We start from the raw sequence: 24,719 nt of genomic DNA on the forward strand, positions 1-24,719 counted from the left end.
GGACAGGGATGCCGGATGCAGCCCTCTGTCCCTGCTCCCTTGCAGAGGCCACTCCCATCAGCCTCCTGCCTGTTCAGGAGTGGGATGCAGAAGACTGACGCTTTCATGCTCCAGCCTGGACGCAGCATGCGCATTGGCAGAAGGCGTGCCCCTTCAAGCTGTGCCCCTGGGAGTCTCTGCCCCCGCTGAGCCTGGGGGCAAGTGGAGGCAGGGCCAGGGCATGAGGAGTTTGCCTCCCCCGCTGGCAAGCACTCCACAGAGGCCTGTTTTTCTTCCAAGTTGTCCAGGCTGGCTCTTGCTGGGTCCTCTCACTAGGTCTTGAGGGTGTCCGGCCCCTCTCTTAGGGAACTTATCGTGCATTGTTCTCAGCGTCGGGCCTCGGCCCCTCTCTTAGGGAACTTATCAGGCATTGTTCTCAGCGTCGGGCCTCGGCTTCCACCTGCAGTTGCCAACCCAGCAGGCCTGCGTCCTGACCTGCATGTTCCAACGCAGCCCGTCTGGCCACATGCTCCCTCGGAGCTGCCTGGCACAGCAGCAGCGGACGGCCACGGCGTCCACCAGCATTCTGGGGCCTGGAGGATGCCTGTGGTTCTCAGCTCAGGCTGTCCAAGTGGGGAGAGACCCCGCAGAACCAATCGGACCAAGGCCTTGCTTCCTTTGGGAGGCGTCCACACTGACGCTCTTCCTGGGGGGTGCTTCTCCAAGACCCGGTGTGTCAGCCCCAGCACTGTCAGCCTCTGCAGGGCCGAAAGCTGCCCCTCACCTGGGAACAAGTACCCAGGAAACTCCTGTCCTCCACTGCCCAAAGAGAGGTTTGCGGTGGGGCTGCCCGCCTGCTGCCTCCTGAGGGGCAAAGAGAGGTTTGCGGTGGGGCTGCCTGCAGGGGTCCAGTTGCACAGCTGTGGGCATGATCAGCATGCCCTGAAATCCAGGGCATTTGACAAATGAAAGTGATTATCACTGTTTAATTCCAAGTTCTCCCTGGATTGCTATATTTAATTATCTGAGAACCAGCTGACTGGTTACCATGAAGGGTTTAACTTCAGACAACTGTGCCCAGGGCCCCGTGCAGGACTCAGCAAGGCTGCACCTTGCAAGCGGGTGGCAAGTTTCCTCCATTACAGCAACGCAGTAGAAGGGGCTGATGCTTGCCGAGATACGTAACCGCCACCAGGTCCCTCTGCTGTGGGTCAGACAAGTGCAAGGGCTTGGTGGTCCCTCATGGGCTCACTGTAGGGCTTTGTTTCTAGGGGAATAGGTTACAACCCACAGTGGTTCTTACACACAGCCTGGGAGGCAGACCCCACTGTGTGGTGAATCGGTACCCAGCTGGCAGCCAGCCATGGGCACCCCTCCCCTGCTCTGACACAAGCCTTTGAGGGCTCCCTCATTTTCAGTCTTTTTCAGACGGAAGCCCCCCGATATGGTTTGAACATTTGTCCCCTCCAAGTGTCATGATGAGATGTGATCCCCAGTGTTGGAGGTGGGGCCTGGTGGGAGGTGTTTGGATCATGGGGTGGATCCCTCATAAATGGCCTCACACCATCCCCTTGGTGATGAGTGAGTTCATGTGAGAGCTGCTTGTTTAAAGGTGTGTGGCAACTCCTGACTTTTTTTTTTCTTTTGAGATGGAGTCTTGCTCTGTCGCTCATGCTGGAGTGCATGGTGCGATCATAGCTCACTGCAACCTCCGCCTCCTTGGTTCAAGCGATTCTCCTGCCTCAGCCTCCTGTAAGACTGGGATTACAGGCACACACTACCACGTCCAACTAATTTTTGCATTTTTTTTTTTTTTTTTTTTTAGTAGAGAAGGGGTTTTGCCATGTTGGCCAGGCTGGTCTTGAACTCCTGGCCTCAGGTGATCCGCCCACCTTGGCCTCCCAAAGTGCTGGGATTACAGGCGTGAGCCACCGTGCCCGGCCTCCTTCCCTCTCTTGCTCCTGCTATTGCCATGTGATGTGCTGCCCTTGCTTCACCTGCCATCAGGAGTGAAGACGCTGGGCAGATGCTGGCGCCATGTTTCCTATGAAGCCTACAGAACTGTGAGCCAATTCAACCTCTTTTCTTTATAAATCACCCAACCTCAGGTATTTCTTTTTAGCACTGTGAAAGCAGGCTAACGCCTGGTACTTCCCTCACAGCTCACCCCATCGTCACCCCTCACAGCCCACCCCATCGTCACCCCTCACAGCCCACCCCATCGTCACCCCTCACAGCCCACCCCATCGTCACCCCTCACAGCCCACCCCATCGTCACCCCTCACAGCCCACCCCATCGTCACCCCTCACAGCCCACCCCATCGTCACCCCTCACAGCCCACCCCATGGTCACCCCTCACAGCCCACCCCATCGTCACCCCTCACAGCCCACCCCATCGTCACCCCTCACAGCCCACCCCATCGTCACCCCTCACAGCCCACCCCATCGTCACACCCTCACAGCCCACCCCATCGTCACACCCTCACAGCCCACCCCATCGTCACCCCTCACAGCCCACCCCATCGTCACCCCTCACAGCCCACCCCATCGTCACCCCTCACAGCCCACCCCATCGTCACCCCTCACAGCCCACCCCATCGTCACACCCTCACAGCCCACCCCATCGTCACCCCTCACAGCCCACCCCATCGTCACCCCTCACAGCCCACCCCATCGTCACCCCTCACAGCTCACCCCATCGTCACACCCTCACAGGTCCCTTCAAACTCCTCAATGTTGCTCCCACCCTGAATAAGACAGGTTGCCCTGCCCTGTTCTGGGTCCTGAGTTCATGATCTCCCAACATAGGGCAATATTCAGCCAGAAAAGAGGAGACCAGAGCAAACAGCTCCTCCTTTAACAGCTCATGTCCAACAACAGAAGGGTCCAGGGCCATCAAATAAGAATGGTGACTCTGTGGAGGGACACATGGGAGGAAGCACAAGAGGAGGATATGGAGGGTGAAAATAGATGTGCGTGGACTGTGCAGAGAACAGCTTTAGAATGAGGAAATTGTCAGGATCTTTTTAATTTCTCTAAGTATCTAACTAAAAAAAATATTTTAGGCCAGGTGTGGTGGCTCACACCCGTAATCCCAGCACTTTGGGAGGCTGAGGTGGGTGGATCACTTGAGGCCAGGAGTTCGAGACCAGCCTGGCCAACGTGGTGAAACCCGGTCTCTATTAAAAATACAAACAATTAGTGGGGAGTGGTGGCGGGTGCCTGTAGTCCCAGCTACTCGGCAGGTTGAGGCAGGAGAATGGTGTGAATCTGGGAGGCGGAGCTTGCAATGAGCCGAGATCGCCCACTGCGCTCCAGCCTGGGCGACAGGCGAGACTCCATCTCAAAAAAAACGAAAACAAAAACAAAAATTAGCTGGGCATTGTGGTGCACGCCTGTAGTCCCAGCTACTCGGGAGGCTGAGGCATGAGAGTTGCTTGAATCCCAGAGGCAGAGGTTGCAGTGAGCTGAGGTCACACCAGTGCACTCCAGCCTGGGCGACAGAGTGAGAGTGTGTCTCCAAAAAAATTTTTTTTTAACCCAAAACATGGTTTCTCTGATTATCGACAGTGCAAAGGATGCATGCTGAGCGCGACATGGGCAGGGACGTCCCGCGTAGTCCACCAATGGGGTGTGAGCACCTTGCTATTCTGCTTCCCATCTTATCCCGCTGCTGCACGGTGTCTGCCCACAGCAGGGACCCAACAAATATGCATCCAGTGAACAAAGGGACGAAGGCCCCTCAGCAGCTCTGTAAATGGGCTCCTGTCCACAGTGGGGTGATGCAACATGCCCTCCCCGGCCCCTGGGGAAGATGCTGCCAGACTCTGCCCTCCAGGCACTCCTTTGCTGGACACAGCTGCCTGCCGTTCCCCGCCAGGAGGACCGTACCTTCGACACACTTTGTGGGGCAAGCCCGGCATCTCTTCTGGGTAGAAGCCCTCACCACAGGCTGGCACACACTTCCAGTCGTGGAAGTGGAAGTTTTTCGCACAGTGAATGCACTCTTCTCTGCCTGGCCCTGAGAGACACAGGAAAAGAAGCAGGTATCAGGGATGGCTGGCAGAAGACCATGCCCCAGGCCTGCTTCAGGGCCTTGTGAGATCAGGGGTACCATTCAGGAGCCCCCAGGCCACCACCACAGCTGCCATTTCCCAGGTTCTGTGAGCTGGGCCGTCCTCACCCACTCCCAGGAGGTGGGCATCGCCATCACCATTTCACAGACGGGGACATCGAGGCATGAGATGATCTCAGAGGGAGCACACCTGCCCACTGGCCGTGCCACGATGATGGGCCCTGTTTCCAACAGGCCTAGGCCCACCTCTGCTCCCTGAACACTTGGAAATCCAGTGCCAAAGTCTTCATATAAAAAATATAAAACAGCTCATTTATTTTTTGTATGGATACATGTTGAAATGGCAATATTTTAGACACATTAGGTTGAATAGGATATGTTACTAAAATTATTTTTGCCTGTTTCATTTGACTGTTTAAGATATGGTTACTAGGCAACTTCAAATTGCACCCGTGGCTTGCGTTTGTGGCCCTTCCATTGCACAGAACGCTGTAGAAGATGACGGGGGAAGATGAAAGAAGAGATCTTTGGGAATGGTGTTGACAGGTGTTTGGTGTGTACAGCCAGGGCGTTTTCAACAACAGAGAAACAAATGCCTAAGACTAAGGGTTTATAGGGCAGGGAGGAGAGACTCGAAGACACAACAGTTCTGAGCAAAGGGCCACGAGTCATGGAGGAAAACCTTCAGGTTGGCTCAGGGTCCGAGGAGGACCTGTCGACCTGGGTCAGATGTTGGACTAGTTGACTAGATAGCACCTCCTCTGGGCCAGGTGTCTCCAGGGAGCAACTGATGGGACGTCAGAGAGGGGCAGTGAAGTAGTCACTGACTGACAGCGGAGAGGGTTACAGGCAGGGAGGAGATTATCTCAGGGGCTCTATGATAATCACAATGCCCAGGTAAACCTCCTCACAGCTGCTTCAGTTCGATTGTGGTCGCAGATCGAGGCCTTGCAGTCTGCTCTGGACTCAGATGGGGCCTCTCGCTGCATCAAGGGAAAATCCCTTTGCAGAGGTTCCGGAGCCTGGAGGGCTCAAGCACAAGGCCCTGGGCTCTGGGGCTGGCTTCACACCTCAGAACCACAGCCGTAAGCCTGGGAGGGAATTCTGAGCTCCTGCAGGAGAAGCTCCTCCTTGGAGAGTCAGGAAGAGTGAAGCCGAGAAGGCCACAGGGTTTTGAGCAGGAGGCAGATGTAGGGACCTCAAGGGGCCTCTTGAGGACCACCGTCTTCATGGCAGGTGTCTCCCTCTCTTCCTGAGGTGCGGTGGAAGAGCTGTGCCCCGGGGGCGGGACTCTGTCTGGTTTATGTTGTTCTGGAGCAGAGGCTGCTCGTATGCTTTGGCCAATGCCGCCCCTCCCCATCACTGGTCTCTGGGAGCATCTGGTGGGTGGGTCTCATACACCAGGCGGGGTGCCACTCTGAGTGGGGTTTGGGAGCTGTTCAGGGCCTGCCGTTGTACCTCTCACGCCTCACCTGCTGAACCCGTCTTCCCCACTATCCTTCCTCCAGCACCAGGGTCCTTAACACCTGTGGAGCCTCCCAAGTGGGAAAGAAAGCTCATTCTTGTTTGTACTTAAGTTTCATGCTCAATGTATTAAGCTTCAAAGTTGTTAAAACACATTTATTTGGAGGTGGTGGCGATGGTGGCACACAAATGTAAATTCACTTAATGCCACCGAACTGTATGCCTAAAAATAGTCAAGATGGTACATTTTATGTGATGTGTATTTTACCGCAATAAAAAAGCTGTTAAAGTGGGTTGATTTTCTAAGCGACCTATTTTCTCAACTACTAAAAAATATGAATTTCATAACTCAGTGAAAGTCTTTTAAGGATTCCATTAAGTCGCAAGTCTCTATAGACTTTGAACACTTTAAAAGCACCCACAATCATAGCAATAAGAGCAGAACGGGCTGTGCTTATACAGGACCTGCTATGTTGTTTGCGGGGCCCAGTATAAAGTGAAAACATGGAGCCTTTGTTCAGAAAGCTGGAAGAATGTGCCACGACAGGGACTAAAACAGAAAGCGTTTTCCTTTCTTTTGAATCTCTCTTGGTCTGTTGTGGTGTTTCTCATTTGCTGTTTCAAGTAGTGCCGTCTCAGGCACAGGACGCTCATGCTTGAGGGCTGACCGTCACAGGTGCTTGGGGCACTGCCCCGCAACTTGGTATGTGTGTGCCCTGCAGGCTGTCAGCTGCTAATCCACATGCCATGCCCCAGGTGGGTAAGTCGCGTCCCACGGGGCCACTGCATTAACCCAGCTGTGCCAGCAGCCCCGAAGGATTACAACCTCCATGCCAGGACACACGGGGCACCTGGACTCAGGAGGATGAGAGGCTCATCTCGATCGAGTTGCCTGCCAAGTGCACTGGGGCACTGTGAGCCAAGGGTGGGGACAGATTCCGCCATGCCCTACCCCAAGCACTCATGCCTGACTCCGACCCTCCCCACGACTGTGCCCAGGCCCCTGGGTGGGTGGTGGACAGCAGTGGTCACTGAATGGGAACAGGGAGGGGAATGCCAGGTGGGCCTGGGTCTCCAGGGCACAGGAAGTAGGCAGCTGAGAACAGCTGCCTCCAATGAGGTCCACACCTGACATGGAACAAGAAGCCTCCAGTGACTCAGAGGAGGAAAATGAGGTCTCTCTCCCAAGAGGCTGCCAGGGGATAGATGTACACGTTCCCAGGAGCTTAGAAAGAACCCCAGGCCAGAGGGCATGGGGCGCAGGGGAGACCCCCAGAGCTGTGGACCTGCTCACCAATGAATTTAATAGCTGAAGTGATGGAGAAGTCACTGGTTTGAGATGAGAATTCCAAGGGACTCTATAAAGCTTTTTGCCATCAGGCAATCTGGGGACTCAAAGAAAGAAAAGTGAATTATTGAAATCAAAGAGTTGCAAAACTGTATGCCTGAATGTTATGGATTCAAGTGACTACGAAATTTAAATAAGCAACATCAGTGATGCTGCCTAATCCATCTGGGCTAAATAAGTCAAAGAAATAATAAAAATAATAGACAAAAAGGCGACAGGCAAACTGCTGGGGAAATCTGCTGAGCTGCCAGCGGGTGGAACCCATCCAGATGCTGAGCACTGTGGCCTTGAGGGCTGCCCCAGGAGGGAACTGAGGAGGACATGTCTCCCCTGGGTGGTCTGAGGTCAGCCTGGCAATCATAGGAGGACACTGGCCTTGGCCACAGCCTTGTTCATCAGGCCTGTCTATTCCAGGACATACGGCAGGGAGCTGCATGGGGTGCTCATGGCCGGCCACGTGGGGAGGGGTGTGCCCATTCTGCAGGATTTCTGAGGCACAGTAGTATCATGGAAACTGGTTTAGCAGAGACTTAATTCTGTTTTTTTTTTTTTTTTTTTGACAGAGTCTTACTCTGTCGCCCAGGCTGAAGTATGTAGGGGTGTGATCTCAGCTCCTTGCAACCTCCACCTCCCGGTTTCAAGCAATTTTCATGTCTCAACCTCCCCAGTAGCTGGGATTACAGGCGCCTGCCACCAAACCTGGCTAATTTTTGTATTTTTAGTAGAGATGGGGTTTCACCATGTTGGCCAGGCTGGTCTTGAACTCCTGACCTCAGGTGATCCACCCGCCTTGGCCTCCCAAAGTGCCGGGATTACAGGCATGAACCACTGTGCCCGGCCAGTAGAGACTTAATTCTTAAAGTATTACTGCAGAAAAAGCTCATATGATGTGAGTTTCTTAGAAAGGACCAAAGTACCAAGGACAGGAAGGAGAGAGGAGAAAACTTAACCCAAAACATATCCGAGCCCACAGACTGATGGTGCACTTCAACTTACTGTGCAAATAGCTCTGCAAAACAAAATCCAATAAAATGAATGAATTCTCTGCTATTCTGCATAAAAACTGTGCCTGGGAGACATCTGTGCCATCATCTTTGTGGGCAATTATAATACATGTAAAATTGTTTATAGAATTCTTTTCCTCTTTGAAAAAATGTTCAAAATAAGTGAAGATAGGCACAAAGAACTAAGGCTATGTTTGAAAACATCCCCATCCCCACCTGGATCCATTCCCGCCTCTCCCAAAGCCCTCTCAATGTTTATGGTGTTGTGTTTCTGTCCGCGCCGTTCCACAGCAAGAGCTGAGCTCTGAGACAAGATGGCTTATGAGTGGTGAGCATCTCTTATCCCTTTCCCCATCTGAAATAAGCCACTGCCTGGCTGGGTTTCTAATGAGAACCTCAGGCTGCGTGTTCAAAGTGGGCCTTTGCATTGTTTTGGGATTTTGTTTCAAATTTAAAAACATGGTTTTAAAAAAAATTTCCAACAAAACGTTTTCCTTTTGTGGAGAACGGGGTCTCACAGCTTTGCTGCCCAGGCTGGTCCTGAGTTCCTGGGCTCGAGCTGTCCTCCCATCTCTGCCTCTCTAAGTGCTGGGGTTATAGGCATGAGCCACTGCAATGTACATAAAATCTACCATCTCAGCCATTTTTAAGTACACAGTTCAGCAGCATTAAGTACATTCACACTGTTATGTAACCATTGCCAGCATCTATCCTTAGAACAATTGTCATTTCTCAAGTTGAGACTCTGTAACCATTAAACATTAAATCCCCACTCTCCCGGCCCCCAGTCCCTGGTAGGGCCTTTGTACCTTGTTTTGCCCTTGCATTTTAATGCTGCAATAAATGCAGAAGCCCACGAAGTCCTAGGGCTTTCTCGGGTTCAAGGCAGCTAGCCTACGCTTGGGTGACGCTGGCCCGAGGCCTCCGCAGGCGGTGAACTCACCCACGCAGGTTCCGCAGGTGTGATGGCATTCCCCACATCTGATCAGCTCTGAGTCAAAGTAGGTGCCTGGCTCACAGTCAGGAATGCAGCTGCCCCGTGCAAGGCTGTTGAAAAGAAAGAGGCAGATTTCCACATCCATTCCAAAAGTCTAATTATGACTTGCCCTCTAGCACCTTTCCCAAGAGGAGATGTAAGTGGCTGAGGCACAGTTCTTTGTGTCACCGAAAGTTCTCAGCTAAGGAAAGTCGGGAAAGCCATCCCGCAGTCCGCTGGGGGCCCAGCAGGAAGGGGTACAAGGCCCTGGGAAGCAAAGCTCCCATCACCAGGCAGCAGGCGCCAGGCTCCGTCCTTGACCCAGTGATAGCTTTTTCTTACTGTCATTTCTCCAACTCGAATCCAAACCCCATGAAGAGAAGTGGAGCTGTGTGGGTCATCACTGGTGGCACGCTAGCTCAGTCTCAGTGTCAAGTCCCTCTTGAAGTGTTGGCATTTATGGCGTGTGACGGGGCTGTCGGCTACAAGGCTGGCCCTGAACCCCAACCCGCTCTTGCCTCTCTTGCTTGAAACCTTGGAACCTTCTGCAGCTTCGCAATGAACTTGAAATAAGACGCCCTCTGGAGCCCCAGCAGGCCTGTCAGATGCAGCCCCTACCTTCCTCTTTCGCCCCATTTGTGCCCTCACTTCACTCCAGCCAGCCGAGTGCTGGACAGAGACACAGATGCTGAGCTAGACCACCCACGTGGATGGCTTCTGCCACCTTCCCAGTGTTCGACCCCAAGCAAGCCAGCCAGCCCCTCTACATCTGTTTCCCTTCCTGTTAATTGGTTTCTACATCATAAAGTTGCTTGGAGGACTCAATGAGCTAATACCCATAAACATTTCAGTGTCTGGCACACAGCAGTGTGAATCAATATCACCTACTATTATCTCTTTAGTTCCTGAGATTATACTGTGTACAGTCTGTGACGTACATGTTCTAGATGGGTTTGCCATACTGAGCAAGGGCTCTGGGGTGCATCTGTCAGACCCGGAGACTCCTGCTATGACACTGGGATTTATAATAAGAAATATGTGAAGAGAAAAAGAAAAAAAAAAGGAAATATATGTTCGGTCTTTGTCCTGGCACACAGCTCCTAAAACCCTTGGAATTATCAAAGTGCTAAATGTCTTTAATAACTGATAGCTGGGGGTTCCTGGGCAGCCTCTAGACAGGGGCTGGCTGCCAGGGAACCAACCATTGATCAGAGCTTTGGAATTTTTAGCCCTACTACTCTGACTTCCCTCCTGGGAGGTGAGAGGGGCTGAAGGCTGAATTGATCACCAATGGCCAATGATGTAATCAATCATGGCTATGTAACAAAACCTCCATAAAAACCCAAAAGGTCAGGGTTTGGAGAGCTCTGGGGTGGTGAACAAGAACACAACCACATCCTGGGAGGGTAGCCCAGCCCAGCCCCATAGGGATGGAAGGTCCAGCGCTCAACCCTTCCAAACCTCACCCTCCGCATCTCTTCATCTGGCTGTGTGCCATATCCTTTGTAATAAATGGGCACATGTAAGTAAAGTCTTTCCCTGTGAGCTGCTTTAGCCAATTAATCGAACCCAAGGAGGGGTCATGGCAAGTCCGATTTATGGCTGGTCACTCAGAAGCACAGGCTACCATGTGGGACTCGTGATTGACATCAAAGTGGGGCAGTCTTGGGCTGAGCCCTCAATTTGTAGGATCTGACACATCTAGTAGCGTCAGAATTGAGCTATTTATTTATTTATTATTTATTTATTTTTGAGACAGGATCTCATTCTGTCACCCAGGTGGGAGTGCAGTGGCACGATCTCAGCTCACTGCAACCTCCGCCTCCCAGGTTCAAGCGATTCTCCTGCCTCAGCCTCCCGAGTAGCTGAGATTACAGGCGTGCACCACCATGTCTGGCTATTTTTTTTATTTTTAGTAGAGACAGGGTTTCGCCATGTTGGCCAGGCTGGTTTCGAACTCCTAGCCTCAAGTGATCTGCCTGCCTCGGCCTCCCAAAGTGCTGGGATTACAGGCGTGAGCCACTGCGTTCAGCCTGAGCTATATATTTATTACGTATATCTTACGGTTCACTGGAGAACTGCTTGGTGTGTGGGGAAAAACCCACACGTTTTGGCTACCAGAGGTGAAGTGTGTTGTATTTTGTGTGTGAGAGTAGGAGAAAACACTGGTTTTTCCTATCTCTTACACCTGCATTTAGCAGGAAGACGTCTGTATGTTGGCAAGCTCCTCTGCATAGATGGCGGACACCCACCCGGCGCCCTTCCTCTTCATGGTGCCATGCCCACTGCGAATGGCAGTTAAATCATGTCTTTATAACTGACACTCCCCTGCAAACCTTTCCTGTGTTGATCCCCCTGAAGAGATGGAGGGCCAGAGGCGGCGGCTCGGCTGCTCTCTTGCTGCTTTAACATGACTGCAGTGATTAGAAGTCACAGCTTAAGAGGATATTGGGCAATAAACGGAAGCTCTCTGTGGCTGACGGCTGGCGATGCGTCTGGAGTTTGCACGCCTCTCTGAAAGCTCGTCAGTGACGGAAGCACTGCCTCTATGTGGCGGGGCTACCGACAGGAGGCGTTTTCTCTTTAGCACACCATTCCTACATTGAGTATCCGATTTCCCTCTCCTACAGGATGGGACGGGATGCATAAATGCATTCCCGGGGACCCCTCAGCACTTCTCTGCTGGGAAACAGGCAGGTTCCAGGGAGCTGGGAACACAGAGCCTCCTCTTCCTGATGCCCCCAGCTACCAGCCTGGGTTGAGGATCCACTCCTGGGCTGCCTGACCTGCAGAGCCTGGGACATCAAAGCTGGCCTCTCCCAGGCCGCCAGCGGAATGCCTCCTTCCTCTTCCAACTCTTTTATCTTTGGGGGATCCCTTTCCTGGGCCAGTTCATCCTTTCACTCCTAATCCTGCCTTGTCCAGCCAACAGGTTTAAATGACAGCAGATGTGATGCATGACTTTGGGAGCCTTGCTTTGCCTTCCCTCTCCTGGACTCCTAGCTGCTTGGGGTCCTCTTCTCCCCAGTACTCTGATCTGGAAGAAAGAGGCAGGCTGAAGGAAATGAAGGCAGTAGCATAGTGCCTCCTGGGGAAACTTCATCTCCCCTGTTTGTAAAATGCGAGTAAGAATTATGTCTACTTCACAGGTTGCTGCAAAGATTAAATGAGGCAACACTGGTGCAAGCCCCTGGAATAAGAGAAGATATGCTCAGTAAGTTTTCTTCCTTTGTTCTTTACTCCAAAAAAGAAACTTCTTCTATGGAGAATTCCAGTCCTCACAGCATTTGAGAAGGGAGACGGGGCTGGGGGTGTGTTGCAGCCCTCCACCGCCTCACCCTGCAAAAGCAGCTCCCTGCCTGGACCGCAGCATCCTCACCACTGCCAGCCTGCGGAAATGCAGAGTCGTGGGCTCTGCCCAGACCTGCTGCATCAGAACCTGCATCTGGACATGAGGTGATCCTTCCAGTGCGGACCATGGTGCTAGTCTCCCTACTATGGGAGTGTCCCCCAAAAAATTTTGAACAGAATGTTCTAAGATTTTAGACAGCAATTCGGAGGAACAGGTAATGTATATTTGATTGCATTAAATGCAGTTTGGTTGCATTAAATGGGCTGAAGAAACATTTCAAAATATTCCAAGAACAATCATTAACCCAGTAGAATGATTTTAAAGAAAATGCATGCTGAGCTTTATGGGGCTGAGCCTGATGAACAGGGAGAACCAGGAACGTAAAGAGCACCCTCAGGAAGCCGTGAAGATGTCAGGAGCTGGGAGAAAAAGAGAAGACCGAGGGATGCAGAGGAGAGAGGGTGGGTGAGCCGCTACAGCCCATCCCCGGCCCAGACAGCGAGGGGAACTGGAGCAGGTGGAGGTGCTGGAGCGAAAGGAGGCGGATCTGGGCACAGCCCTGTGCTGTACGTGATGTGATCAAGTGCTGCTTTGCCCAATTCGCCCATGTTGTGTAAAATGTAGAGATTCCGCCCATCCTCTCCCTTTCCATCCTAAGTGGACACACGATTTCCAGGACTCGGAATCTTTACCCTCAATGGCTTTGGGCCTCTGACAGTTCAGCTTTTAGGAGAAATGCACCAACGTGGTAAATCCATAACACACTCCAAGCAGCGCCACCGCCCTGACATTCCTCAGGTTTCGAGGGGGTTTTACCTGAATCCTTCTTTACAGACAGTACATTTCTCAGGTTCATCCACGCACTTTTTACAGCTTGGGTGGCATTTAAGGCAATTTTTCTGACCTGGAGAAAAATAGCGAGATAAGAAAAGAGAAGGGACGACACTGACAGGAATGAAATCTGGGCAAGCAGGCCCCCGGCATTTCAAAGCGGGGGTGCGGGTGGGCTGTTCCCCGAGTCCACCTCCGGAATGGGTGGAAATAAAGCAGCCAGAGGCCGCTTGTACCTGGTGTGGGGTCACAGAATTCTCACCTCCCCTTTCTGAGGTAAAAACGGTCCTCAGACAACCACCAGGCCTCTGAGGTGGTTCTGCTTATTTCAACAGGGATGGAGGCCAATTCCTGGTGGGCTGAGTAGAGTTTAACGAGGTGGAAATCTTCATGAAAGTGGCCGGGTGTGGGCAGGTGGGGGGTGGAGAGCCTGAGGCTGCCGCTTGCCCACCACGGTGCTTTCTCAGGGAAACCTATGTATGAAGATCTGGCTGCTCTAGATGGTGAGACAGGAACCTACGGCGAGTCATCGTGCCTCTTGGGGAAGTTTTGGGTCACCCCAACTCCCACCTGCAATGTCATAACTTATTATCTGGGTTGGCGCCTCATGAAACACCACCATGCACCACTCCTAAGTGGCTGGGGTGCTCTGGGCCTGGGAGCTAACAGCTGCTTGCCACACCTGCACGTGTCCCCCTCAGGGCCCCCACAGGTGGCATCATACGCCATAAAGCAGGTGCTGAGTGAGGATGTCGGGGTGAAGAAGGGCGGCCAACTGTGCCCTTGGGAAGGGGGTGGGGATGAAGGCGCCTCCGTCCTTTGCAAAGGTCTGGCTGGCAGCCCAGGGCAAGCGTTTGCAAAGGCTGTGAAATGTGTCTTGCATGACTTTTTGTTTCCCCGCTAAAGGGAGTCTGGGACGGGTGAGGTGGCTCACACCTGTAATCCCAGCACTTTGGGAGGCCAAGGCAGATGGATCATTTGAGGTCAGGAGTTTCAGACCAGCCTGACCAACATGGTGAAACCCCATCTCTACTAAAAATACAAAAAAATTAGCCGGGCGTGATGGCGCATGCCTGTAAGCCCAGCTACTCGGGAGGCTGTGGTAGGAGAATTCCTTGAACCCAAGGGGCAGAGGGTGCAGTGAGCTGAGATCATGCCACTGCACTCCAGCCTGGGAGACAGTGAGACTCCATCTCGAAAAAAAAAAAAAAAGGGGGTGTCTTGTTATTTGATGGCTTTATACGTCTTTTAAGATTTGCTGGGTCTTGTCCACAGGGGTAACGGCAGTGCCATGACAGGCCGGATCAATGACCCATCCTGAGCAGTAAGGGCCCAGAGAGGAGGGCCGTGGGGAGGCCTGCTACCTGGAAGACCACGAGTGCCAAACGGTAGCTTCTTTAATGTGTTTGAGAACTATCCCCTGTCAATTTAACCCAAGCCCTGCTTTTGTGTCTCCCAGGGCGAGGCGAATTACGAAAACATGGCATGGGGTCTTGGGCCTACAACTCCTGTCCAGCCCCCACCCTCCTGGGACAGCAAGACACCTGGCCTTGCGGCTCTGAGTCCGAGTCCCACCTCCATCATGACTAGTTGTGGCCTTTGCCCCTGCTCAGCTTTGATTCCCCATCTGTAGGACGAGGAAAACACTGCCTGTCTAGTGTTCAGGGGTGCGGTTGCCACCTGTGAAATGCCCGGCAAAGACAAACCCATCCCTTCCGAGCCCAACTGACGTTGGTCAGCAGCTCCTTTTCATGTCTGGAGGTCTGCAAACCTTCCGCCCACATCTGACTCCCAATTTCATCTCCGCAGCTCTGCCGAGGAGGGCTCTCCCCCAGCTCTGACCACCAATCCCATGTACCCTGACCCACGCCCAGCGCACACATCCTGTGTTACAGAGAAGCCGATGGCATAGTCTTTCCTGGAGGAGAAATTACAGCACAGACAGCAGGACCTCCTCTTCTGATACCTGAAATCAGACTGAGTTCAAGAGTGGCTGGCCCTAGCCACCTCTCTGCCCTTGCTCAGTAGTGGACGTTGACTCTGTTGCAGGTGGGTGAAATTCCCTGGACAGCCAGGATGTCTCTCAGCATCACTTGGAACTTCTCCTGGCCAGGTCTGTGGGGAAGTGCTATTAACTAACAGGTCTGGGTGCTTTGATTTCATCATCTCTGCCTCCTTCCCTGTTCAAAGTCCTTACTCAGAACAACAAAATACACGGAAGCAGAAGGCTGGGAAATTCTCCCTGGAGAGAGGACACGGGCCCAGAAAGTTGGGGCTGGCTCATCAGTTCTTGTACCCACAAACAAGCCACTTACTTTCATCAGCATAAAATCCTGCAGGACAGAGGGTCACACAGGTGTTCATCTCCTGGTGGTGATAGAACCCGCGGCGGCAAGACAGGCACTGCGTCGCAGCTCTGCTGGAGCAGGTCTCACACCCCTTGTGGCACCGGCGACAGCGTCTTGCTGCTGTGTCCCCAAAGTAGCCCAAGGGGCACACACTCACGCACTTCCTGTAGGAGCAAAGGCAGGAGGGTGAGGGCCTTGCCAACCCAGCCCCAGCCCCAGGCCTGCCCCTTTGTTTCCTCTGAGGAAACGAAGGCTTCAGGAGTGAATGTCAAACATGATGCCCTTTGTCTTGGTGAGTGCAGTTCTGAGGTTCCTACGTACACAGGTGGAGAGGCTGGAGGCCTTGCATAGAACCTGGGAATCCTTTCTTTTCAAAGCTGGCCCTGCTGGAAGGTCCTGAGGGTGCGCATGGTTTCCCAAGGGCATCGTGAGGTTCGTATTTGACTTTTGGAACTGTCGGCTCTGGCAAAACCCTCTCTCGGGCGCCCTCAGGGAGTGAGTCTTGTGGGCAGTGAGTGAGGCCAGCAGGGTGACAGCCTTTGCACTTTGGCCAGTGAGTGCGCTGTGGCTGGGAGCTCGAGGACGCCACGAGAGCCACATGGGCACCCGGCTTGACCTTGCACGGCCGCACCCGTGCCTGAGCCCTCATGGGTGTGCACCAGTGGTTGGTGGGTGCATCTGTCACCCAGGCCTTTGGGGAGCCTAGCAGTGTCCTGTCATCGTGGCCTCTGAGGCCTGGCACATGCGGGGCATAATGGGTGCTCAGGGAAGTTTGTGAAATGAGAATGGACAACAGGGCAGCTGCAGGACTGGCAGGGAAGAGAATCTGAGAAAGTGGTGATGCCAGGAGCTGGAGCAGCTCCGTGGACAGAGCCCAGGGCCTGACTGCAGAGGCCACACAGGAGGGCACACTCATCACAGAAGGGTCAGCCTGAACCGGGCAACTGGCCATATACGTGGGGTCCCAGGTCAGAGCTCCTGATATCCTCCCTTGGGGTAAACTCAGCCTCATGGGCTCTCTGGGGAGGTGCCAGGAGAGCTTCTGTGAAAGCCCCACACCCAGCCAGAGTCCAGAGACACTGAAAGAAAGACCATCAACAGGCTTCAGCCTGTCCAAGAGCCATGTCCCCTGAGCTGGCCTGTGAGGACAGCACCAGGGCCTTGAATCGCATCCGTCTCCAGGCCCTCTGGGGCAGCCTTGGCACGCCCAACATGACCCACTTCTCTTTAACAACACAGATAGAAAAGGCTTTATAAGCACGGACGCCAACGTGCAACAGCTTCTAATTTCTCCGTAATGGACATGTATGACTTGCATGATAGGAATGCCAAGTTACTAAAAATTTAAAAACTCCAAAGCAGTTAACTTCAGTGTGATGATTGTTTGGGGGTGCTACGTTACTTCCTAACTGGGGCATCAGGACATGGAGGGGCTAAGGATACAACTGGAAAGTCACTGAGTGGTGAGCCACAGGGCTGCGGGACATGCATTACCTGCTGGTCTTGACACTCCCCAGGCTGAAGTGGACGCAGTTCAAGCACTGGTCTGCATTGGGGCCATCACAGCCTTTGTCACCACACTCCGGATGGCACACACCTTAAAGAAACAAGCATTGCCTTTCATCCAGAGAGACGCCTTCTCCATCTACTGCAGTCCCGCGGATCCCTGTGTCAGGATATCGCAGCTTGGCAGGGTTGGGAGACGCTCCCAGGCCCCGCTGGGGCTGGACGGCCAGACGACAAGGCGGGAGCAGCCGTCCCTGCGGGTAACAGGCACAGCTGAGCCTCGCTGGGCTCCAGTGTCAGTCTGAGCACTCTAGACAGGGATGGCATGAGAAGGAGTGAAACATCCAGGGTGGGTACGCCACCCGGAGCAGGGAGGAGATGGGACTTGTGAGAGCCTGGAGGGGTAGCGGGGAGGGAGAGGCTGGAACAGCTGTTTCATTCACTCACTTGCACCAGTCATCATGCTGGGACCAGCCAGCACCTTTGACTTCCACGTGGAGGACAGAGCAACACAAGAGGGGGTGCTGAGTGTCAGGGGAGCTGCTGGCAAGCTGATGAGCCAGGAGGAATTAGGTAGCCCCCCCGCAACTCGCTGTGGTGGGAATGGGGATGGATCTCCGCATGCTCAGGACCGCCTGGTGGGGCTGTTGCTGGCCAGGTCTAGGGTGGGGCAGGGACACAGCTAGACAGTGCTGTCCTAGGGTTGGGGGGCTGCTGTTTTCTGTGCTGAGGGCTGAGCCCCTTTCAGAACATCCCCTTTAGGCTTTCCTTGGAGCCCTTGGTGGGACGGCAGCTGTGTCTTCCCTCAAGTTCCCAGGGGTCCCCAGCTTCTCACTCCGGAGGCTGGTGTGTTGTTGGAAAAACAACTGAGAACTGCAGGCGAGCTGAGTAGACGCCAGCAAACCTCACCCTCTAGGTCCTTCCCAGGTATCCCAGAGATGAAGCCAGTGTTAAAGGTCTACCCGTCAGGCGGGGGCGGGGCACGCTGCAGGGGTCCTCCCCACGCTGGTCGGCAGGAGTGACGCCTGAAGCTACAGCTGGGGTGGACTCCTGCCTACTGCCCACCTGTCCCTCCTACGCTGGGAAACGGCCCAGGGGACCCCGACAGCTCTGACACACAGGGACTAAGTGGGGCATGTGAAGGCTTTTGAGTTACTGGAAGAAAAACCTCCTCCTCCGAGGTGTGAGTTATGAGAGGGGATGGGGAGTGAGCTCAAGAGTAAAGACTAGTGAGTTGCTGGCCACCTTCATTTGGTGGGGACTTGAGGAAAAGACAAAAGTCCTCATTCTCTGCTGCCCACAGTGGGGTTTTGCTGGGGCACGCAAAGCCCTCTTCACTCGTCTTGAAGTCTCCAGACCTTGCCAGTGTTAGACCCAGTGAGGCTGGCTTCCCTCCCCGAAGGCTCTCTGGTGTTATTTCCCTAGTTTTCACTGGGGGGGCTTTGCGTGTCCCGGTTCCCACTGTGAACCCCTTTCAGAGCTGTGTGTATCCACGAGGACACTCTAGATGCTGTTCCTGGGCGGTGCTGGTATCCTGGGTTCCAGATGCCACTCACCATTTCTAAAACTCATTACTAAACTCCTCCCCCCAGCTCCAGAGGGTTTACTATAATATTTTGGATCAATTCCCATCTGATTGGATTCTTTGCCCACCTCATCCTGGGTCATCTATGAGGACAGCCTCCAAAATCCTCATTTCTCGCACCATTGCTTTAAATTACCCATTGAGCCCAAAACTCCAGCTCAGCCACTGGGCTCTCGCCTTCCCACCCTCGCAGCTGGCCCAGCGAACGCGGGGCTGTCGTGGTGACTTGAGGACTTCTCTCCTGCCTTTTCCTGCAGCGTCTTCTCCCTGAGGAGGCAGCAGGTCTGTCTTGCTTGATAAAGTGAACAATTTCCTTCATCTTAAGAAGATGAGGGCAGGAGTGCGACAGGGAGGCGGCAGACCAATCTTTTCACTCTTTCTAGACACGGAATGGGAGACGGGCGGGCAGGGCTTGGTTCGGTGTGTTCACTGCTAGATTCCTGGCATTAGGCACAGAGCAGGTGCTCAATCACTATTTGCTGAGCGGATGAGAGGAGGGTGGCTAGGAACAGGGAAAGTGCAGATGTCCTCACCATCTCCAGACAGAATGTTCTAGGATGTCCTCGGAGGAGGACAGCCTTGGGGAGGGTCCTGAAGCAGTGCTCCCAGCTGCTGGTCCGGGTGTATGGACTTCACACCCCCCACCCCTGTTCCTGGGTCTCTCTGCAGTGGAAAGCTTATTCATAATTTTGCAAGGAGCCCAGTGCAAGGTTGGGGGCTATTCAACAGAGCTGCAGGGCCCCCACACTGCACTGAGGTCACCCACCGGTCAGGTTAAGACGATGCCCATCCAAGGGTGGAGATGCCTAGATGAATATCTGTAAACAAACCTCCCCAGTATGGCTGTCCACTTGAATTGTGTTTAAAAGCCAAATATCCAGGTTCCTCTCGCCCATGAAGCGTTCTTAAATTAAATCCACCTTGCTGTCCACGTGGTCCCAATCACTCCACCGCCTGAGCGTGTTCTGGTCCAGCTGCAGCTCATTCTCTGGGCAACCATGATGTTTGTGTTGCAATTTGTACTTAGGTCTGCTTTTCCCTTTGCCTCAATTAGCGTGACAGTTCCTCCAAGCCCCACTGCCTTCTTGTGTCACTTCCCGTAACTCCTAGCAGGGGTCTCTTCATACAAGGGGGGCTCCGTTCACGTGCTGAACAGCCTGGCTAGCGGCTGATGCCTCTCTAGATGGGCTTAAACTGACACGGGTTTATTTGAAAACTCCACCTTCAATCCTTTGTGGAGGAAATCCAGGATTTAAAAAAATACACAAACAAATAAATGTTAGAAGCAACTTGGGAGTTCTCCATGTGCTTTGCCGTTGCGCGCTCAGACCAACTGCCGATGGACAGGAGAGTTTGGTATCACCATCTTCTCCACCGTTCACGCCATCCAAGAACAGCACACCAGAACCTCACTGGAGCAGTATCGGACCCGAGAGGCATGCAAGACTTGGGCCGATTAATTGCAGACAAGAGGTGCCCACGAGAATAAGAGTACACTGAGAACAAGTCTGGTTTCCTTCCTGACTGCTGTGCCCTGAGCAAGCGACCTGAGGCTTCTGGGCCTCTGCTTGAGCCTGTCGAGTAAGCACGGATGTGCTGAGCCTGTGAGCACACATGGTCCTGCTCCAGACATCACCCTCATCCTGTGAACTGTCTCCTGTACCGGTGGAGCTGCCCTGGAACTCCGTCTTCCAGACGATGCCACGTGGGTTCTTGGCTTCCCTTGCAGTCCTGTGTGGATGACCACAGTGTCCTGAGCTGATCTCAGCCCACTCAGCTTCCTTTGCTCAACCATGGCTTCTTTCCTGAGGCCCAGGCTTCCCTGTGTTTCCATGCCAGTAATGTCCTGGCCTCCCAGCCACTCTCTTGCAGGAACCCAAGCTCTTCCCTGCCTCCTGCCCCCATCCTCGCTGGTTTCATTATCTGCCAGCTCCCTAAGCCCACGGTGCCTGCAGGCACCTAAGAGTGGTTGCTACAGGTGCAGACCCCCAGGCGTCCCACACCTGCTGAATCCCAGTCTCTGGGCGGGGGGACAGCCCAGGGTCTGCTCTCAACTCAGCACCCTGCGGAGTCCCTGGGGTGGCCTCCACCTGCACTTTGGCCACCAGACGGCTCTGGCCTAGCAGGTTGGCTGTCACCACAAAGTTGTCCACCTTCAGAACCACAGCACTGACATCTTCCTTGTGCCCCACGCTGCCCACTGCAGCTGCTGCCCTTTCTCCCAGCCAGATGCTCTGGTCCTCAACCTTCCTCTCCAGGGACCATCTTGCCTGCTGCTGTCCTGGGACCCTGGCCATTTGCAAGTACTCCCTAGGCTTCCCTCGTCCCCCTCGCTCACTTCCTCTATTTCTTGGCAACTGCTCTCTTGCCCAAAGAGTCCAGGTGCAGCCTCCACTGGCCTGGGCCCGTCACTCCTGATGCACCATGACCATGGCCGGCTCCGCACACCCCGTCTCATATCCACCTGACCTTGCATTGGACTCTAACGTGGCTCGTCCTCCTCCTTTGGCTTCCATACTCTGGCACCGTCTGGTTCTCACCTCCTCTGTCACTCTGTCCTGGTCTCTGAATAGGCTCTCCTGCTGTCTCTGGTCTGCCCATCCCACTCACCCCTGAGACTTGAGGGGGCTTCTCTGAGAGCCAGGAATGCATCTCCTTCCCATGGAGACCCCCTCTCTCCACCTAATCCCTGCTCAGTAGACTGCTGGACTGCAGAATGGTATCACAGTGAGGTTCCATTGTGCAAGGCTGAAGTCAGTAGCAGATTTTAAGAAAAAAATCAGTTCCTTATTAATAATTACTGAATCTTGCCACAGTTTATAAATCACAGGGGGAAACAGAGCAGATTAGTCCATACATAATTCAATGCTCTATTTTAAAGGAATAGTAGAAGAAATTTAAAATGGAATTGACCGTAATTTATACTTGATATGTGTTGGTGGAATTTTCCATTTGTTATTTGTTTTTCACAGAAGATATTAGATAACTTAAAGCATCAGTGTTCTTAGATATCACCCATCATTTATCATTTAGCCGTAGTATTTAGCTAAGGAAAATATGTCCAACCAGAAATACCTCTTCTCACACAAATTGCTACAGGAGGGCTCAGAGGGAGAAGAACAGCTTCTAGTCTAACAAACGAATAAAAGCCATGTCCAGCTCAGTGGCTGGAGCTTCTCTGGGCAGCTGTGGTTTTGGCCGCCTTGTGGAGTGAACTGGCGGCCCCAAACCAGGGCCCACCTTGGCAATGGGATGATTGGAGAAAAACGATTCATGCAGGGCCTTTTTAGATGCTGTAAGATTTTCAAGGCATCTGTGAAGCATCAGTATCTGCTGACATCATCTCTTGAGATCCTCTCTGGGTCTTTAACCCTAGGCCTCCAGGCTGGTCAGGATCTCTGCCACGAAGTCCTTTCCCAGCTGTGCTCCTTGAACCCAACCTTCCTGGATCCTTGGGAGTAACTGTGTCCTTCCCACATCCTGACCTCAAGGACTGAAAGTGGATGTACTTGAGGGAGTCAGGAGGCTGAGCTGTGAGATGGGGGCCTTTGGAAAGGGGGTGCTCCTAGAAGTGGCTAACTTACCAGGGGGCAAGACCCCATTCTGGTTGGGCATATAGACCCTGCTCTCCCAGCTGGGAAGGTTGGAAAATACTTACTGGTTTGAAGCATACTTACTGGTCTGTAAAATATTAGCAGAGCCTGGGGTGGATTGAGCTGTGTGAGTGCAAATTGCCATGATTATTATGACTCCCAGGCAAGAGAGACACACAACCATCAGCCCCACCTTTGCCAGGAGCAGCCCTACATTTTAAGAGCTACTCTGGACAATCAAAGCTCGTGGAAGCTGGCCGTCTCCTCTTACTTCAGGCTCATTACCTGTGTAATCTTCCTCATCTTCAGGAACTTCCACCTGGGAGGGTGACAGGGCAGCCTTGGGTGGCTCCAGCTCTGGGGCTGAGAGCTCCAGCATCCGCGAGCGGGACTGATGGGCACTGAAGGTGTGGTACGGGTGCTCTGCTGTGCCATACAGTATGAGGCTCCATTCTTTCAACTTCCCTGGAAGGCACCAAACCCACAGAGTTACCTGCCTGTGCCAAGACCTCTGTCACTCACAGAAATAAGCCAGATGCTGCCTGGCTCCTCCCCTGATAGCTGGGCTCTGGCCTGCTACCTTCACTTCCTGGTTACCTGCTGGCCAGCTGTGCACCTATTGCCCAGGCCACATGCTGCTTTCCCCCAGTGTCTCATTCCTGCAAGCCAGTGCCCTTTTATTCCTGTTCTATCGAGCTGCCCTCCGCTTCCTGTCCCTGCTGGGATGGAGGTCAGCCGGGCTGGACTCTCCACTGTCCTGGAGGCTGTCCTCTGCCCTGCTGATCTCACTGCAGCCTCCCTCGATGCTGCCTCCCCGATGCCTAGCAGCAGCCACCTTCCCGTCTTGGGATATCCGGTGGGTAAATCTGGTGCCAGGCCTGGCTGTGAGTCTTGCCCTACAGCATCCAAGTGTGATAACTGGGTTGCATGGAGGAGTCCTGCTGTTTGGATCCTTGATCCTAGATCATGGGAAGACTCAGTCTTGGGCTCTCTCCTCCACAGCTAGCCCAGGACAGTGAGGGATGTTCTGGGGGATAGCAGTGCTGGTAAAAACCCAAATGTCTGCAGAAGCTGGGTGGAGGAAGAACATCTTTGAAAGCAGGGGGATGAGTAGACAGACACCAGGCTCCATGGGGGACATCAGAGACAGACAGACACAGGAAAGACAGTGCTGATGGGAGAGCTCCCAGCCAACATGGGGGCAGCTGGGGTCCCGCCCCACCGACAGCTCCACAGGGAGCGATGGCCCATGCAGCTGTCTGTTCTCAGGTATCAAGCAAAGTGAAAATCCTGGTAGCAATTTCCAGGTGAATTCCTGATGTTATAAAACACATTATAAACAGTCCCCAATTTATGACAGTTTGACTTACAATTTTTTGACTTTACAATGGTGTGGAAGCCAGATGCATTCAGTACACTCCTAGACTTAATGATGGGGCTATGTTGGGATGAATCCACCATAAGTTGAAAATATCATCGAAATAAGTCAACTTGCAATTTGTAAGTCAAAGAGCATCTATGCAATTAATTAACGCCTATCTGCAGGCCGACTCTGCTGCTGGCCACTGGTTTAAGCTTCTTCTTCTTCTTTTTTTTAACCACGGCATCCCCAGAATTCAGAGCAGGGTTACTGTTTAGAAGGTCATCACCCCACATAGTTGAGGGGGCCAGGGGCCAGTGTGACCTGCCCAAGGACAGCTGCTCATGCTGACGGGGCTCCCGGACGCCCCAGCCTTTCAATGTTTGTTTCTAATTGGATTGGCTCAATAGGAAACACATGCACACACATGTTCAGCTGTGAACCCCCTCAGTGGGCCCTCATGACTGTCTCCTGCGACCCAAGCTGGGGACAGGGCCATTGCTGGCTCAATGTCTCTGTTGGCTGAAAAATCCCTGCTTCCTCTTCCTTTCCTGCCATGGGGTTTCTTGGCAATCAGAATGGTTTCGGGGAGGAAGAATACTGCTCTGATTCTTTGCTGTTGACTGTGTTTTCTCAACACTTACCTCTGCCCATGCTCGCTACTCCACCCGCTGGCTCTAAATGGCAGCCTGTCTGTCTTTACATACCTGCCTATGCACTGTTTCTGCAATGCAGGCCCCTCTGCCAGTACAACTTTACTTTTTGTTCCAATTCTGGAAATCTCTTAGCGTTTCTAAATTCCAGAACAGGAGCTCCTGCTCATCCTCATACCATAAGCCCATAGGCTGTAATCCACACCATCCTGGGTGGGTGGGCGGGCAGGTGAAAGACAGGCGGGACTGGCCCCACTGGTGCGATTCGAAATGGCATTCGACACTGACCCATTTACACAATGTGGCATGTGGCAGCCCTGTTTCATTTTAACCACAGCCTCAACTGGCTAAGTACTAGGTTGCAAAAGGCTGGAGCCTGCACACTGTCCCAAGTCAGATTCTGTACTGCCCAAGCCTCCCTTAGCCTGGACAGGGCCGGAAGAGGTAAGCAAGGCCCTCCTACATGAAACAGCATCCCCAGCATAGCATTTCTAGCACACGGTCTTCCACAGGGCTCGGTTCATTAAGCCCCACAGCAGCTCCCCCTCCCTGACACAGTTCCTAACCCAGCCTACGTGTGTGGTGACAGCGACACAGGAAGTTGTTCTCACCGCTGCAGCAGTGACACAGGAAGTTGTTCTCAC

The 24,719-nt window shown here is 53.2% G+C and overlaps 1 protein-coding gene across 3 annotated transcripts in view, besides 2 other annotated features; it reads right to left on the reverse strand.

Moving 5' to 3' along the window:
- PCSK6 (proprotein convertase subtilisin/kexin type 6) overlaps positions 1 to 24,719 on the reverse strand; it is a 185,775-nt gene that overhangs the window by 5,572 nt on the left and 155,484 nt on the right. For 2 of the 3 annotated variants that reach the window (NM_001291309.2, NM_002570.5), the window contains 7 exons: positions 22,348 to 22,527; positions 22,147 to 22,185; positions 16,873 to 16,975; positions 15,346 to 15,542; positions 13,016 to 13,103; positions 8,815 to 8,918; positions 3,872 to 4,001 (listed from right to left, as the gene is read on the reverse strand). In NM_001291309.2, the coding sequence (NP_001278238.1) occupies positions 3,872 to 4,001; positions 8,815 to 8,918; positions 13,016 to 13,103; positions 15,346 to 15,542; positions 16,873 to 16,975; positions 22,147 to 22,185; positions 22,348 to 22,527 (841 nt within the window). The remainder of the gene's footprint in view (positions 1 to 3,871; positions 4,002 to 8,814; positions 8,919 to 13,015; positions 13,104 to 15,345; positions 15,543 to 16,872; positions 16,976 to 22,146; positions 22,186 to 22,347; positions 22,528 to 24,719) is intronic. The other variant, NM_138319.4, reaches the window with a different exon arrangement.
- Positions 17,129 to 17,629: an enhancer, noted in NCBI's record as "H3K4me1 hESC enhancer chr15:101866838-101867338 (GRCh37/hg19 assembly coordinates)". NCBI's record gives its function as "activates a minimal SCP1, AML or CMV promoter by ChIP-STARR-seq in primed H9 embryonic stem cells {active_cell/tissue: H9 hESC(primed)}" and the evidence as "EXISTENCE:reporter gene assay evidence [ECO:0000049][PMID:30033119]".
- Positions 24,651 to 24,710: a silencer, noted in NCBI's record as "silent region_6890". NCBI's record gives its function as "represses an Ori minimal core promoter by ATAC-STARR-seq in GM12878 lymphoblastoid cells {active_cell/tissue: GM12878}" and the evidence as "EXISTENCE:reporter gene assay evidence [ECO:0000049][PMID:35858748]".

Source organism: Homo sapiens, chromosome 15, assembly GCF_000001405.40.
Source record: "Homo sapiens chromosome 15, GRCh38.p14 Primary Assembly".
Classification (NCBI taxonomy): domain Eukaryota; kingdom Metazoa; phylum Chordata; class Mammalia; order Primates; family Hominidae; genus Homo; species Homo sapiens.